The sequence below is a fragment of the Homo sapiens genome, chromosome 3 (genome assembly GCF_000001405.40).
Source record: "Homo sapiens chromosome 3, GRCh38.p14 Primary Assembly".
NCBI lineage: Eukaryota > Metazoa > Chordata > Mammalia > Primates > Hominidae > Homo > Homo sapiens.
The window spans coordinates 23893863-23910686 of NC_000003.12; the positions used below are offsets into that span (position 1 = coordinate 23893863).

Here is a 16824-nt window from a genome sequence, read left to right on the forward strand (position 1 = left end):
ATTAGCTCAGGTATGAATGGAAGATGGACTTGGGAAATTGGCATCTAGGATACAGACTGGTTTCAATGAGTCTGCATTTCAGTTTGGCTACACTTGATGTATGAGAGATTTGCAACATAGTACTTCAAAACAAGACAGCTGGAGCTGTGGGAGTTCTGTATCCATGAGAACAGGAATTGTTGTGTTCACATTATTCACAATACTAAAAAGGTGACTGCTAAGTGTCTGTTAAATGTATGGGCCAAAAACAAAAAAAGTATGTGCCAATAGGAACATTTTACACGAATGCTTACTATACACCAGACACTGCGCGTGACAGAATACAGCAGTCAAAGCTCGGGGAGGAGAAGAGACCCCAAACCAGATTTTCAGATAGTGCCCGTAAAGATTACACAAGACGATGTGACAGTAGACAATGGGCAGCAAGAACTGTCAAAGGCCTCTCTGAGGAGCAGCAGTGAACTCATCAGATCTTGGAACCACTACTGTCTTCCTTCCTGTCTGTACATTGAGCTTGAGCTCCCTGTGCTCCAGTAAGGCCATGCCTTGCTGGCAGGATGAAAGTGGGCCAGAGCTCCAGTTTTCTAGGGGAATCACATACTCTATCTCATCTTTCAAGCCCTCCTGTCATTCTTCATCACCCAGGGTTTCATCTTCATGTATCTCCCCCTACTGTGACCTCCATCTCCCTCTCCTCCCAACTGCAGAAACTCGTTCACTTTACCCCTTAGAATTCAGCAAGACTAACCCCCACTGCATCCTCCACCTCTGCGTCCTCCACCTCTGCTTTGAATGTTCCTTCACCTTTCCTAGTTGCCTTGCAGTCCTGCTTCCTCTATCACTCCCCTCCTACCACTACCACAAGGTTGGGGTAAGATGTCCTCCTTGTCCCTCAGTGCTACCTCCAATGGTGTCCTTCTCTAAAACCCCTGCAGAAAGCTGATGCTATCAGTCTGTTGTACCTACTAATCCCAGGCCGGCCCCCCAACTGCTCCTCATCACAGAGCTGACTCATGGTCAACCTGCTCTCGCCGTTACTCTGGTCATAATTCTTAGTGATTTCACTGGCCACGTAGATGCTGCTTCCAGTAACCTGGTCTCTTATTCTTTGACTTCTCCAATGGTCTCATCATCCTTACCTCAGCCATTCACCACTCCCGTGGTCATATCCTAGACCTTGTTTTGTTTGTTTTTTTTAAAGAGACAGGGTCTCTCTGTGTCACCCAGGATGGAGTGCAATGGCTTGATCATAGCTGGTTGCAGCCTTGATCTTCTGGGCTCAAGCGATCGTGATCCTCCTCCTCAGCCTGCCCAGCTATTTTTTTAATTTTTAGAGATGGGGTCTTACTTTATTGCTGGAGCTGGTCTCAAACTCCTTGCTTCAAGCAATCCTCCTGCCTCAGCTCCGCAAAGTGCTGGGATTACAGGCGTGAACTACCACATCCAGCCTAGACCTTGACATTGTAACTGCTCTCTATGATCTCAGTTCCAGGCATCCCACTCTGACTCCTGCCTTCCCAGTCATGCCTAATGCCCCCATTGCAAGAATTCCAAACACCACAAGGACGTACAACCTACTGGCTCTACTACCTTTATCATTGTCCTTCCACCCCACTCATGTCCTTAATTCCTCCCTACCCAGCTTAGATTATTTTTATTCACTCCCTTGCCCCCATTATCCCACCATATTCACCCGGCAAAACCCCTCCCTTGTTAAATTTAACTATTAACCAGACTCTGTGCCTACACCATTTAGCTGAATATGGCTGGAGAAAAACATACAACCCTGCTGGCCCAGATCATACCACTGATCTCAAATGAACTGATGTTCTCCGGCAAATGTATTACATTTTCTCCATTTACTCTGTAATGAGATATCGCATACCTTTGGTGCCCTTCTACAAGTTCCAGTATCTCCTCTTCCTTCCCCACTTTCCTTTCACCTGATGACCATATTGTTTCAGTAAGATACGCAATTAGAAGAGAATTTCAGCCAGGCACGGTGACTCACACCTGTAATCCCGTACTTTGGGAGGTGGAGGTGGGTGGATCATGAGGTCAGGAGATTGAGACCATCCTGGCTAACACGGTGAAACCCTATCTCTACTAAAAATACAAAAAAAATAGCCGGGCATGGTGGCGGGCGCCTGTAGTCCCAGCTACTTGGGAGGCTGAGGCAGGAGAATGGCATGAACCCGAGAGGCAGAGCTTGCAGTGAGCCGAGATCATGCCACTGCACTCCAGCCTGGGAGATGGAGCAAGACTCCATCTCAAAAAAAAAAAAAAAAAAAAAACTTCCACATTCTTCCGCCACCACATCTAACAACCTACCATCTTCCAAGCCCATTTGCTCTGCCTTAAAACCCATCCTCCTTCACCCGGACAAGGGTGTCACTCCAGCACTTAGTCCCCTCATCATCAATTTTCTCCCATTAGCATACAAACACAATCTTATCTAAATAAAACAAACGGCCGGGCATGGTGGCTAATGCCTGTAATCCCAGCACTTTGGGAGGCCCAGGTGGGTGGATCACCTGAGGTCAGTAGTTTGAGACCAGCCTGTCCAACATGGTGAAACCCTGTCGTCTAAAAATACAAAAATTAGCCAGGTGTGGTGGTGAACGCCTGTAATCCCAGCTACTCGGGAGGCTGAGGCAGGAAAATCGCTTGAACCTGGGAGGCGGAGGTTGCTGTGGGCTGAGATCATGCCACTGCACTCTAGCGTGGGCAATAGCAAGACTCCATCTCAAAAAAAACAAGGATGATACATCTATAGCCACAGGATGAATATTATACATTAGTTACCAAGAAAAAAAAACAGGGGTGGGTGGATGGGTGTGGTGGCTCACACCTGTAATCCCAACAGTGTGGGAGGCTGAGGAAGGAGGACTGTTTGAGACCAGGAGTTCAAGACTAGCCTGAACAACATAACAACACCTGTCTCTACAATTAAAAAAAAAAAAAATCTGGGTACTGATATGGAAACAACTCCAAGATATGTTACATGAAAAACAGAAGGTACAGGATAGTATGCCACCTGGTGTGAGAAAGGGAAAAAAGGCTAGGCACACGGTGGCTCACACTCATAATCCCAGCACTTTGGGAGGCCGAGGCAGGAGGATCACTTGAAGCCAGGAGTTGGGAGACCAGCCTGGGCAACAGAGCAAGACCTTGTCTTTGCAAAAAAATAAAAATAAAAATTAGGCAAGCATGGTGATGTACTCCTGTAGTCCCAGCTACTCAGGAGACTGAGGCAGGAGGTCACTGGAGCCTGGGAGTTTTAGGCTGCAATCATGCCATAGCTCTCAAGTCTGGGCAACAGAGCAAGACCCTGTCTGAAATAGGGAAAAAAAAAAAGGAGGAAAAATATTTTTAATGTATACTCCTATTTGCTTGCATTTATATAAAGAAACTCTGGATGACTGCCCCAAAACTAATAAAGGGGTAAAATATTTTAAAAAGCATGCTTAATGTACAGGATCTTGGTGGTTGAGGACAGCTGTGGGAACCAGACTGAACACAGTCCTTTTTACATATGATTGTCATTTTTGAACCATGTGCAAACATTACTTATTCAATTTTTTAAAACCAAACATGAAAATAAATAAATGCAACTTAAGCCATATCATGTCATTCCTTTGCCCCAAACCAGTGCTTTCTGATCTCACTAAAAGTGAAAGGCAAAGTGCCCCCATCACCTACAACACACCTCCTAGCCCACTCTGGCTTCACTGCCGATTCCTGAACATGGCAAGCAAATTCCGACCTCAGATCCTCGGTACTAGCTATTCCCTCCACCTGGAGCACTCTTCCTTCCAGACATCAGCTTTGTTCCCTCCCTCCTTACCTCCTTCAAATATCTGCTAAAGTCACCCTACAGAAAATAGCACCCTCATTCCCCATTCTGCTTTTCCACATAGCATCACTCATTGTAATGTATTAAATATATTTATTTACTGTCTCTCTCACTCCCAAAATAGAAGCTTTATTGGGATATGGACTGTTTTGTTCTCTACCACATTCCCTGTACCTAGAACAATGCCTGGCACATAGTAGTTGCTAAATAAGCATTCACGGAATTAATACGATTATGGGGATTGAAGAAGCATATGAGGAAGTTACTATTATTCTCCTTTTACAGATAAGGAAACTGAAGCAGAAAAGCTGAGAAGCAAAGCCAAGATTTAAGTATCTAGTACGTGAGTGTTCATTGACCTTTCAACTTTTGTGGGGCAGAGAGGGGTCTCTGGAGGATACCCAAGTAAATAATTACAGCATTTGCCTGTTTCGGTGGGAAAGATGGGAAATACGGGGGAGAGGAGCTTTCATGACTTCTTACATCTTTTCAAAACCTTGTGAATATGTTATCTATTCATAAAGTAAATTAGTATTCTAAATAAAATATCAATAACCCAGATGTCCTACAACAGATAAATGGTTAAAAAGAGTTTGGTACGTACCATGGAATACTACTCACCAAGAAAAAGAAATGAACTACTGATCCATGCAGTGACTTGGATGAATCTCCAGAGGATATGTGAGTAAAAAAAGCCAATCCCAAAAGATTACATATTGTATGATTTTTTTTTTTTTTTTCCGAGACAGAGTCTTGCTCTGTCACCCAGGCTGGAGTGCAATGGCATGATCTCAGCTCACTGCAACCTCTGCCTCCCGGGTTTCAAGCGATTCTCCTGCCTCGGCCTCCTGAGTAGCTGGGATTACAGGCGTGTGCTACCACGCCAGGCTAATTTTTGTATTTTTTTAGTAGAGACGGGGTTCCACCATGTTGGTCAAGCTGGACTCGAACTCCTGACCTCGTGATCTGCCCACCTCGGCCTCCCAAAATGCTGGGATTACAGGTGTGAATCACTGCACCTGGCCTGTATGATTTCTTTTATATCAGGGGTCCCCAACCCCTAGGTCATGCGCTGGTACCAGTCCAGGGCCTGTTAGGAACCGGGCCACACAACAGGAGGTGAGCAGGGAGCAAGCAAGCATTACCACCTGAGCTCCGCCTCCTGTCACATCAGTGGCATGAGGTTCTCACAGGAGCTGGAGAATCAAATTGTGAACTGCACATGTGAGGGATCTAGGTTGCATGCTCTTTTTGAGAATCTAATGCCTGATGATCTGAGGTGGAACAGCTTCATCCCCAAACCACCCCATCTCCATCTGTGGAAAAATTGTCATCCACAAAACCGGTCCCTGGTGCCAAAAAGACTGGGGACCACTGATTTATATAACAATCTTGAAATGACACAATTATAAAAATGGAGATCAGATGAGTGGTTACCAAGGGTTAAGGTGGGGGTGAAGATGGGAGGGAAGTGGGGCAGCTATAAAAGAGTAACATGAAGGATCTTTGTGGTGATGGAAACGTTCTGTGTCTTGACTGAATCAACACAAATACGGTGGTTATGATGTACTAGAGTTTTGAAGATGGTACCACTGGGGCAAACTGGGTAAGGGATCTCTCTCTGTTACTTCTTAAAACTGCATGTGACTCTATAATTGTCTCAAAATAAAAAGCTTAACAAAAAATATGCAAAAATCTAAGTTAAGAACATCTAGCCAGTACTTTTTGTTGTTGCTGTTTGTTTTGTTTTTTGTTTTTTTTCTACCATCTAGCCAGTACTGTTAATCAGTATATTATCTGGTTTCCTAGACAATGAAGAGTCCGCCACGTGAAGATCTGGAGAAAGATTTGAGATAAGAGAGTTCCAGACAGGGAAACAAGCAATTGAGAAAGCTTAATAGGAAAACAAAACTATCATGTTGAAAAAACAGAAAGTAGACTGGTGTCACTGGAGTATAGTGAGAGACAGGCAGATAATAAAGATGAGATGAAAAGGACAGGCATGGGCCAGGTAATCTAAATCTTTACAGACCACTGTAAGGCATATGAATCTTATGTTTAAGTGGTATATGGGTAGAATCCAATAATTATTAGGTTTCTTTTTTTGGTAAGCCTGAAGACAAGAATCCTATGTACCCAAGGAGATAATAAAAAGCCCAAGGAGGGCAGGCATGGTGGCTCATGCCTGTAATCTCAGCACTTTGGGAGGCCGAAGCAGGCGGATCACAAAGTCAGGAGATCGAGACCATCCTGGCTAACACGGTGAAACCCTGTTTCTACTAAAAATACAAAAAATTACTGGGCCTGGTAGCACACGCCTGTAGTCCCAGCTACTCAGGAGGCTGAGGCAGCAGAATCCCTTGAACCTGGGAGTTGGAGGTTGCAGTGAGCCAAGATCGTGCCACTGCACTCCAGCCTGGGTGAAAGAGAGAGACTCAGTCTCAAAAAAAACAAAAACAAAAACCCAAGGAAACAGCAATACCAAAGAACATAAAATGAATTATGTAGTACTTGAGATAAGAAGTCATTAAAATTCAACTTGTAGATGGTAACAAGCAAAAGGCAGAAAGTCAAATTCTGGTCCTAACTAAATTCAGTCAGACCTGTATTTCTTGGGTTAAGAAAAAAATTCTAGGCCAGGCAGAGCGGCTCACACGTGTAATCCCAGCACTTTGGGAGGCCAAGGCCGGCAAAGCACTTGAGGTTAGGAGTTCAAGACCAGCCTGGCCAACGCGGTAATACCCTGTCTCCACTAAAAATATAAAAATTAGCCGGGCATAGTGGCACACTCCTGTATTCCCAGCTACTTGGGAGGCTGAGGCAGGAGAATCGCTTGTACCCGGGAGGCGGAGGTTGCAGTGAGCCAAGATCGCATCATTGCACTTTCAACTCTTGCCTGGGAGACAGAGCGAGACTCCGTCTCAAAAAAAAAAAAAAAAGAAAAAGAAAAAGAAAAGAAAAAAATTGTAAAGGTTTTACAGATACTAAGAATATACTGTAATGATCTGAAAATAAACTACCCAAAAGTCTGTGCTATAATTTAAATGGTATTATAATTCACATTTGGCATTTTTAACATATCCACTTGCCTCTTTTTTGTCTTTGAACTTATCGATTTCTTTCTTCAGAAGCTCCACTCTTTGAAAGGATTCAAGGTTATTCACACTGTACACAAGAACGAAGCCATCAGCAAATGAAAAATAATGCTTTGGCAGCTCCACGCCTTCCTGTAGACCTCTGGTGTCATAAAGATGTAACTGTTCTTTTACTCCTCGGTCTGTTTCTACTGAAGCCATGTATACATCTTCCATTGTTTCGCAATCTTCCATTCCTGGGATTAAGAAAACAAATTACTCTTTTTGGCTAAGTCAGTGTCAACTGCTCCGTATTTTCTTGTCCTTTAGAAATTGGCTTTCTAGGTTTCTTATTTACCACATATAATAATCACATTTCTATTTTACTTTTTTTTTTTTTTTTTGAAACAGGGTCCTGTTCTGTTGCCCAGGCTGAAGTGCAGTGGCTCGATCTCAGCTCACTACAACCTCCGCCACCTGGGCTCAAGGGATCCTCCCACCTCAGCCTCCCAAGTAGTCCCTCCCAGCTGGGACTACAGGTGCCATCATGCCCAGTGAATTCTTGTACTTTTTGTAGAGACAGGGTTTCACCACGTGGCCCAGGCTGGTCTCGAACTCCTGGGCTCAAGCAATCTACCCACTTTGGCCTCTAAAGTGCTGGGATTACGGGTGTGAGGCACTGCACCTGGCGTAAACAAAATTCTTTTAAAAAATATTTCTTCTGCATAAAAATAAAAATCCCCTTCTTGTTTATGATCTTTTAAAAATGCATTTTACCACTTTGTTTCATTTGTGCAAGTTTTATCTCTTCAACTAGTCTCTAAGTTTATTAAGTGAAAGGAACCATTCTGTGTACACAGCAAATATTCAATAAGCCCTTACTGATAAAGGAATTAAAGGGAGAAGATTAACATTCTTAATTTTAATAAGTAGTGGAGAGACATGTGATAAGACAGGTAAGGTATAGTCCCAGTAACCACCTCCATATTTAAATATGAGGCCAGGCACGGTGGCTCACGCCTATAATCCCAGCACTTTGGGAGGCCTAGGTGGGCAGATCACCTGAGGTCAGGAGTTCAAGAACAGCCTGGCCAACATGGCCAAACCCCATCTCAACTAAAAATACAAAAATTCGCTGGGTGTGGTGGCGGGCACCTGTTATCCCAGCTACTCAGGAGGTTGAGGCAGGGAGAATTGCTTGAACCTGGGAGGCAGAGGTTGCAGTGAGCCGAGATCATGCCACTGCACTCCAGCTTGGATGACAGAGCAAGACTCCGTCTCAAAAAATAATAATAAAAAAATAAAAATAAATGAATGTGAGATACATCCAGAGGTAAAATCACATGGATAACATCCTATACCCCCCCCAATCATACTATGTTATAGTTTTTTTTAAACTAGTTACAGTTTTCCTAAACAACCTAAATACTGTAGAATGATTTGTTCCAGATGCCTTACATGAAATGTCCGTTAAGTATTAGATTACATAAAATCTCCACAAGTATTAGATTAAAAGGAATAATCACATGGTAATACATAGATTGGATCATTGAGAAACCAAAAATTTACTTTCATCAACATAACTCATAAGGAATGTATTCAGTGTTTAGAAAGGTAAAATTATTCATAAATCTGATTATGTATATACCTGTCTGTGTCATCCTGTCATAAATTAAGCCCTAAGGAAATTAAAGGTTATCTATTAAGACACAAACGTATTGGGCTTTGATTACAAATTAATTTAAAAGCAAAAACTACCAAGCATTTTGTCATGTGATTTTTTTATCCACCAAAAGCCAGTCCGGTTAGCCCACCTCCACCTGCCTCTCCAAAAGGGGGTCTAAAGTTTAGACCTTTTGATATTTTGGTACTCTAAAGATCAAATGAAGTCAAGAGTCTTCCACTAGTTCTCTAGATTTCCTCTCCCACTCCACGCTGCTGGGCAACTACCCATCTCGCACACCAGGGGAAGGCTTAAGGGTGCAATCTCTGGGGAGTATAAAATAGAGGCTGTCTAGACTGTGGGATAAAGGGAATGAGTTCCACCATGAAAACAGGGCAATTAAGTGACATGCCTGCGCACACACACATACTGAATGTTGAAGTCCTCCGGCTTTCCCTTTCTGCTCCCAAAACACTGGCAGCCAGCTCTTTATCCCCATCCAGGGGAATCTGGAGAATCTGGCCAACGGAAAAGGAAAAAATCCTAAATATACTGACATCTAGGTTTCCCCAATAAATGCCCCTGCCAGATCACTTTAGTGAAGCTCTAAGTCATGAACCCTATCCATATGCTTAGAGCTTCCAATTGGCTTTTTAAGTTGTATTTATTTATTTTTGAGACAGGGTCTCACTTTGTCATCTGGGCTGAAGTTCAGTGGGACAATCTCAGCTCATTGCAGCCTCAACCTCCTGGGCTCAAGCGATCCTCCCACCTCAGCCCTTCAAGTAGCTGGGACTACAGGTACATACCACCAAGCCCCACTAATTCTTGTATTTTTTTGTATAGATGGGGTTTCACCATGTTGCCCAGGCTGGTCTTGAACTCCTGAGCTCAAGCAATCTGCCTGCTTCTGCCTCCCAAAGTGCTAGGATTACAGGCATGAGCCACTGCACTGGGCCTAGGGGTCCATTTTTAATTATGAACAGATAACCAAGGTTTAGCAGACACCTGAAGAAAATAGAGACCAACAAGAAGAGACCGCTACAGAGAAACCAACTATACAAAGAAAAGAAAACAAAAACAAACAAACAAAAAACTACCTAATCTATCAAAAAAATAAGATAGTACATCCATGAAATAAGAACAGGATACTAACAAAAACTCAATAGAAGGGCTGGAAAATAAAGATAAGAATATCTACCAAAAAGTGGTACAAAAATATTGAGAGATGATAAACAGGAAAGGGGCAATAAGAAAATTCAAGGACTAGTCCAGAAGGTCCAGCATCCAAAAAGAGAGTTCCAGAAAACAAGGACAGAGAACACAGAGGAAAGAAAGCAATAACAAAATAATTCAAAACTGAAGAACATGCATTTCCATATAGAAGGGGCCCTCTAAGTGTCCAATACAGTAAATGAAAACAGACTGGCCAGGCTCGGGGGCTCACACCTGTAATACCAGCACTTTGGGAGGCCAAGGTGGGCGGATCACCTGAGGTCAGGAGTTCAAGACCAGCCTAGCCAACATGGTGAAACCCCATCTCTACTAAAAATACAAAAATTAGCTGGGCACGGTGGTGCGCACCTGTAATTGCAGCTACTTGGGAGGCTGAAGTGGGAGAATTGCCTGAACTCAGGATGCGGAGGCTGCAGTGAGCTGAGATCGTGCCACTGCACTCCAACCCGAGTAAAAAAAGAAAAAGAAAGAAAAGAAAAGATCAATTCTATGACGCATCACTGAAATTTCAGAACACTGGTGTCTTAGTCCATTTGTGCTTCTATAACAAAATACCACAGACTGGGTAATTTATAAATAGAAAATTTCTTTCTCACAGTTCTGGAGGCTGGGAAGTCCAAGATCAAGGTGCCAGTAGGTCTGGTGTGTTGTTATGGCACAGTCCCTACTGCAAGATGGAGCCTTGTTGCTGCATCCTTGGGAGGGGTCAAATGCTGTGTCCTCACATGGTGGGAGAGACAGAAGGGCAAGAGAGCACTCCCTTCAACCTCAAGCCCTTTTATAAGGATGCTAATCTTTCATGAGGGATTAGTCCTCATGAAGGTGAAGGGTGGAGCCCTCATGATTTAATCACCTCTTATAGGCCACAGTGCTTAATACTGTTACATTGGAGATTAAGTTTCAACATGAATTTTGGAGGAGACACTATCCTTCAAACCACAGCAACTAAGAACAAAGAAGAGAGCCTAAAAAAGTTTCCACAGACAAAGCATCAAGAATCATAATGGTTCCCAGATTCTCAAAAGTAGCACTAGAAGCAAGAAGACAATAGAAGCTGATAAAGTTAAAGAGACACACCTTCTATGAATCAGCAATTTCTAGATATGTATACCAGAATTTATCACATAATAGCCAGGATACATGTACAATAATGTTCCAGAGTAGCATTATTTCCAATAGCTCCAAACTGGAAAATAACCCAAATGTTCATGAAGACCTAACAGACAGAGGTAGTTTCATGCAATAGAATGTTACATCAATGAAAAGTAAACAACCACAGCTACGGCAAAATGGATGAATCTTTTATTTTTTTTTCTAAATAGAGATGGGGTCTCCTGATGTTGCCCAGGCTGATCTCAAACTCTGGGGCTCAAGTGATCTTCCCACCTCGGCCTCCCAAAGTGCTGGGATTCCAGTGGTGAGCCACCATGCCTGGCCTGATGTGTCTTACAAATATAATGTTGAGTAAAAGAAGCCAGACATGGATTAATTTAATTCATAGAAAATCCATAGGGCAAAAAATAAACTAGACCATTTAGTGACACACATATGTGGCAATTAAAAATAAAAAGAATGATTAACCAAAAGTCAAGGGAAGGAATGAGTTGCAACTGGACAGAGGAACACAGGGAGCCACTGGCCTGTCCTCAATGTTGTACTTTTTGATCCATGTGGAGATTATGTGAAGGTTTGTCTTATAATTATTAAACCATATATGCAATGCTTTCAAAATTCCGAAAGTATATTATTTTTGACCTAGAGTTCCATACCCATCAAAATTACAATTCAAATGTTAGTGTAAAATAAAGACAGTTTCAAACATGCAAAGCCTCAGAAAATGTATCACGTATATTTTCTCAGAAAACTATTTGAGGAGACCCTCCATAAAAACTAATATGTAATCATAGAAACAGGAAGAAACAGAACCTAACACAGATATGAAGTAAAGGAAATCACAAGCACAATTAGTAAATATCTCAATTCGGAAGCCCCAGGGTCACGACTACGTCCCAGGTAGAGGGCATGTTGAAGGCCATCATCACTGGATGTTCTGTTCTACTGTACAACCTTTTCAACCCCAGAAAAGTACTGGAAAATGTGCTCCAAAAAAAAAAAAAAAAGGTATAAGCCAAAAGAAGAAAAGAAGACAAGAGATCTAGGAAACAGGAAATCAAAACCAGGGAGAGGCCGGGTGCAGTGGCTCATGCCTATAATCCCAACATTTTGGGAGGCTGAGGCAGGCAGATTGCTTGAGGCCAGGAGTTCAAGACCAGCTGGAGCAACATGGTGAAACCCTGTCTCTACTAAAAACACAAAAATTAGCCAGGCATGATGGCGCATGACCGTAATCCCAGCTACTTGGGAGGCTGAGGCAGGAGAATCACTTGAACCTAGGAGGTGGAGGTTGCAGTGAGCCGAGATCGTGCCACTGCACTCCACCCTGGGTGACAGAGCGAGACTCCGTCTCAAAAAAAAAAAAAAAAAAAACCAAAGGGAGAAACAAAGGGGAAGTTCCATGATGATGGTGGCACAGTAGATAAGAGGACACAGAGCTCCTGAAAGGACACAGCCAAGAAAAAAAATAGATTATCTGATGGAGCTGACCTCATGCAGAACTGAGAAACATCTGGACTATGTGGAAAGAACTAGCAAAAGGTATAAACAAAACTAAAGAAATGACAAATACATGTTGGCTTCCATGAAAACAAAACAAAAAAAAGAATCACAGTATACTATACTGCTCTGCTGAGAATACCACTGACCCTTAAACAACACAGATTTGAACTTCACATGTCTTACATGTAGATTTTCTTTCTCCTCTGCCACCTGACACAGCAAGACCAATCCCTCCTCCTTCTCCTCAGTCTACTCCACATAAAAACAATGAGGATGAAGACCTTTACGATGAACCACTTCCAGTTAATAAATAGTAAATATATTTTTTCTTCCTTATGATTTTTTTTTTTTTTTTGAGATGGAGAATCACTTGAACCCAGGAGGTGGAGGCTGCAGTGAGGTGAGATGGCATCACTATACTCCAGTCTGGGAGACACAGATTTTATTTTATAGGCATTATCATCAAAGAGAGTGTCTTATATCCTTTGCAGTGGCTATTTTTCACTTACATTCTTCTTTTCAAATTTAAATAATGGTAACCTCTTATACATTTTAAAATAACCTTTATTTTTTAAAGCAGGTTTTTGTTTTGTTTTGTTTTGTTTTGATACAGTCTCGCTCTGTTGCCCAGGCTGGAGTGCAGTGGCGTGATCTTGGCTCACGATAAACTCTGCCTCCCGGGTTCAAGAGATTCTCATGACTCAGCCTCCTAGATAGCTGAGATTACAGGCACGTGCCACCATGCCCAGCTAATTTTTATATTTTTAGTAGAGATGGGGTTTCGCCATGTTGGCCATGCTGGTCTTGAACTCCTGACTTCAAGTGATCCGCCTGCCTCGGCCTCCCAAAGTGCTGGGATTACAGGCGTGAGCCACCACACCCGGCTTCTTCCTTATGATTTTAATAACATTTTCTTATCTCTAGCTTACTTTATTGTAAGAGTACAGTATATAATACACACAACATATAAGACATGGCAATTAACTGTTTATGTTATCAGGTTTAAGGCTTCTGGTCAACAGTAAGCTATGAGTAGTTAAGTTTCTGGGGGGACAAAAATTTGGTTGTCAACTGATGGGGGGGCGGTGTTGGCACCCCTAACCCGTGCACTGTTGAAGGGTCAATTGTACTGTATTTATATATGCCAGCAGCTCTCCAACTGTGGTCTGCAGATCTCATGAGGTCTCCTTTCAGGGGACCCACATGGGCAAAACTATATTCATACTACTACCAAAGCCATTTGCATTTTCCACTGTGTTGATATTTGTACTGATGTTGCAAAAGCAGTGGTGGGTAAAACTGCCGGTACCTTAGTGCAAATCGAGTCAGTGGCACTAAACGTATAGTTGCCATTAGATCCTCTCTTCACCATCCTGTGCTTGCAGTTAAAAAATTAAAAAGCCAGTTTTACTTAAGAATGTCCTTAATGAAGCAATAAAAATGACTAATTTTATTAAATCTCAAGCCTTGAGTATATATCTTTTCAATATTCTATGGAATTAAATGGAAACTATACATAAAGCATTTCTGCATGCAATTATGGTAACTGTCTTGAGGAAAATCTCTTGTGTGTTTTAAATTGCAAGCTGAACTAGCCATCATTTTTAAAAAGAAGAAATGACAGAAAAACTATGTATTTACAATATTTGACAAACATTTTCTCAAAAAGTAATAAAGGAAGCCTATCATTTCAAGGAAAGTAACTATGGTAACAGTATTTGTTGTCAATAAAATTTGAGCTTTCAGGCAAAAATCAGAATTGTATCCATCATCATGAACTTGACAGATTCCCAATACTGATGAAATTGGTATTTCATCAGATATTAACAAAAGTGATATGGAAGACTTCCTTAGCGAACCAAAATTTCCAAAATGACCAATTCACGATGCTAAAAAACTCTGCTTGGGTAAAAAGATCCATTTAAAATGCAGGATCAATCAATGAGATTTTAATTTAGCAGAGTAAAAAAGTTCACGAATATGATTTCAGATTCTACACTGCAATAACCTTTAAGTAACCATCACTTGTTAAGTTTTAGTGAAATACCAAAGAAAAATACCCATAATTACCTGAAAAGGCTATTAAAGTATTCCTCCTACCTTTTCCAACTACATATCTGTGTGCGGCTGGATTTTCTTCATATATTTCAACTGAAACACCTCATCACAGCAGATTACAAAGGCAAGTGTTAATAGATATGATAATTGCCTTCTATTAAGCTGGACATCAGAAAAGATTTTCTAAAAAGTAAATCAATGCCACCTTTCTATTTTGAAAATATAATTTTTTTCATAAAGTTATTTTAGGATATAATGAGTTTATTAGTGTCATTTAGAAAAAATAAGTAGTTTACAAATGTCTCCATTTTCCTTTTCTTTTTTTCTTTTTTCAGACAGGGTCTCCTAAGTTGGAACATACTGGTGTGATCATGGCTCACTGCAGCCTCAACCTCCCATGTGATTCTCCCACCCCAGCATCTCAAGTAACTGGAACCACAGGCACATGCCACCATGCCCACCTGGATAATTTCTTTCTTTCTTTTTTTTTTTTTTCTTTTTTTCATTTTGTTTTGTTTTTAGTGGAGATGAGGTCTCAGGCTAGTCTCAAACTCCTGAGCCCAGCTGATCTTCCCACCTTGGCCTCCCAAAGTGCTGAGATTACCAAGCTGTGAGCCATCACGCCTGGCCACGGTTTTAATTTCTAATACAGTAAATGTTGGAAGATACAGCCCACATAAACAGAAGTTGTTTGGGGTCCTCAGTAAGTTTTCACAGGGCAAAAGGATTCTGAAACCAAAAAATTTGAGAACTACTGACATAGGTATTATAATAAACACTAAATATGAATTTAACCACAATTGTTAAACATTATTTTAGAAAGCTAGAAGAGAAGCAGAGCACATAGAAATGGTTAATGAAAAACAGAAATGTGGGCCAGGCGCAGTGGCTCACGCCTGTAATCCCAGCACTTTGGGAGGCCGAGGCGGGGGGATCACTTGAGGTCAGGAGTTCGAGACCAGCCTGGCCAACGTGGTGAAACCCCGTCTCTACTAAAATAAAAATACAAAAATTAGCCAGACGTGGTAGCACGCACCCATAGTCCCAGTTACTCAGGAGGCTGAGAAAGGAGAATTGGCTGAACCTGGGAGGCGGAAGTTGCAGTGAGCCGAGATTGCACCACTGCACTCAAGCCTGGGAGACAGGGTGAGACTCCATCTCAGAAAAACAGAAATGTGCTTTAAGTTACTTGCCAGAAAAAAATGCTTTGATGATCTCTGTTTACTTATCTAACACAAACGTCATTTCATTCTAACCTGTGATATCTATCTTCCTTACTAAGCCATGACCTCCAGAGATGCTATCTTCACCTCTGTAACCCAAGGCCTGATTACACGTATCATATACCAATTAATAAATAATTATTTGACTCAGCGAATGAATAAATGAATGAGGTAGCCCAATTCACAAAATTAAGTCATACTCACCAAACAACTGTTTCTTCCATTTTTAAAAATCTACATACAGCAGCTCTGCAAAGTTGTTTTTGTTTTTTTTTGTTTTTTTTTTTTTGAGATGGAGTCTCGCTCTGTCGCCAGGCTGGAGTGCAGTGGTGCAATCTCAGCTCGCTGCAACCTCTGCCTGTCACATTCAAGCGATTCTCCTACCTCAACCTCCTGAGTAGCTGCGACTACAGGCGTGCACCGCCACACCCAGCTAATTTTTGTATTTTTAGTAGAGACGGGGTTTCACCATGTTGTCCAGGATGGTCTTGATCTCTTGACCTCATGATCTGCCTGCCTCGGCCTCCCAAAGCGTTTGGATTACTGGTGTGAGCCACTGCGCTCGGCCTTTTTTTTTTTTTTTTTTTGAGACAGAGTCTCGCTCTGTAGCCCAGGCTGGAGTGTAGTAACACCATCTTGGCTCACTGCAACCTCAGCCTCCCAGGTTCAAGAGATTCTCCTGCCTCACCCCCTCAAGTAGCAGGATTACAGCCACCTGCTACTATGCCTGGCTAATGTTGTATTTTTAGTAGAGACAGGTTTCACCATGTTGGCCAGGCTGGTCTTGAACTCCTGACATCAGGTGATCCGCCTGCCTCGGCCTCCCAAAGTGCTGGAATTACAGGCCTGAGCCACCATGCCCACTGGAAAGTTATGTTTTCTTAAATCAGTGATTCTATGATTTGTAATGTAATGAATTTACACCATTCATTATGTAAATACACGGAAAACCACATATATACAAAGGAATATATATCCATATTGATCTATCTATATTGGCCATTTCTTTCCTTACCTGTGATAACTTACAGCAGGCACTCTTGAATTTCAATAACACTAAGACTTTTTTCCCTCCTCTTTTCTTACCTCTTAATCTCT

The 16824-nt window shown here is 42.0% G+C and overlaps 1 protein-coding gene across 27 annotated transcripts in view; it reads right to left on the bottom strand.

Moving 5' to 3' along the window:
* Window positions 1-16824, bottom strand: part of NKIRAS1 (NFKB inhibitor interacting Ras like 1) — a 56612-nt gene that overhangs the window by 3912 nt on the left and 35876 nt on the right. For 21 of the 27 annotated variants that reach the window (NM_001377380.1, NM_001377365.1, NM_001377363.1 and 18 more), the window contains one exon: window positions 6946-7187. In NM_001377380.1, the coding sequence (NP_001364309.1) occupies window positions 6946-7187 (242 nt within the window). Of the gene's footprint in view, window positions 1-6945; window positions 7212-7498; window positions 7616-13754; window positions 13824-14964; window positions 15233-16824 lie in introns of all 27 variants that reach the window. The other 6 variants (NM_001377367.1, NM_001377368.1, NM_001377371.1 and 3 more) reach the window with 5 other exon arrangements.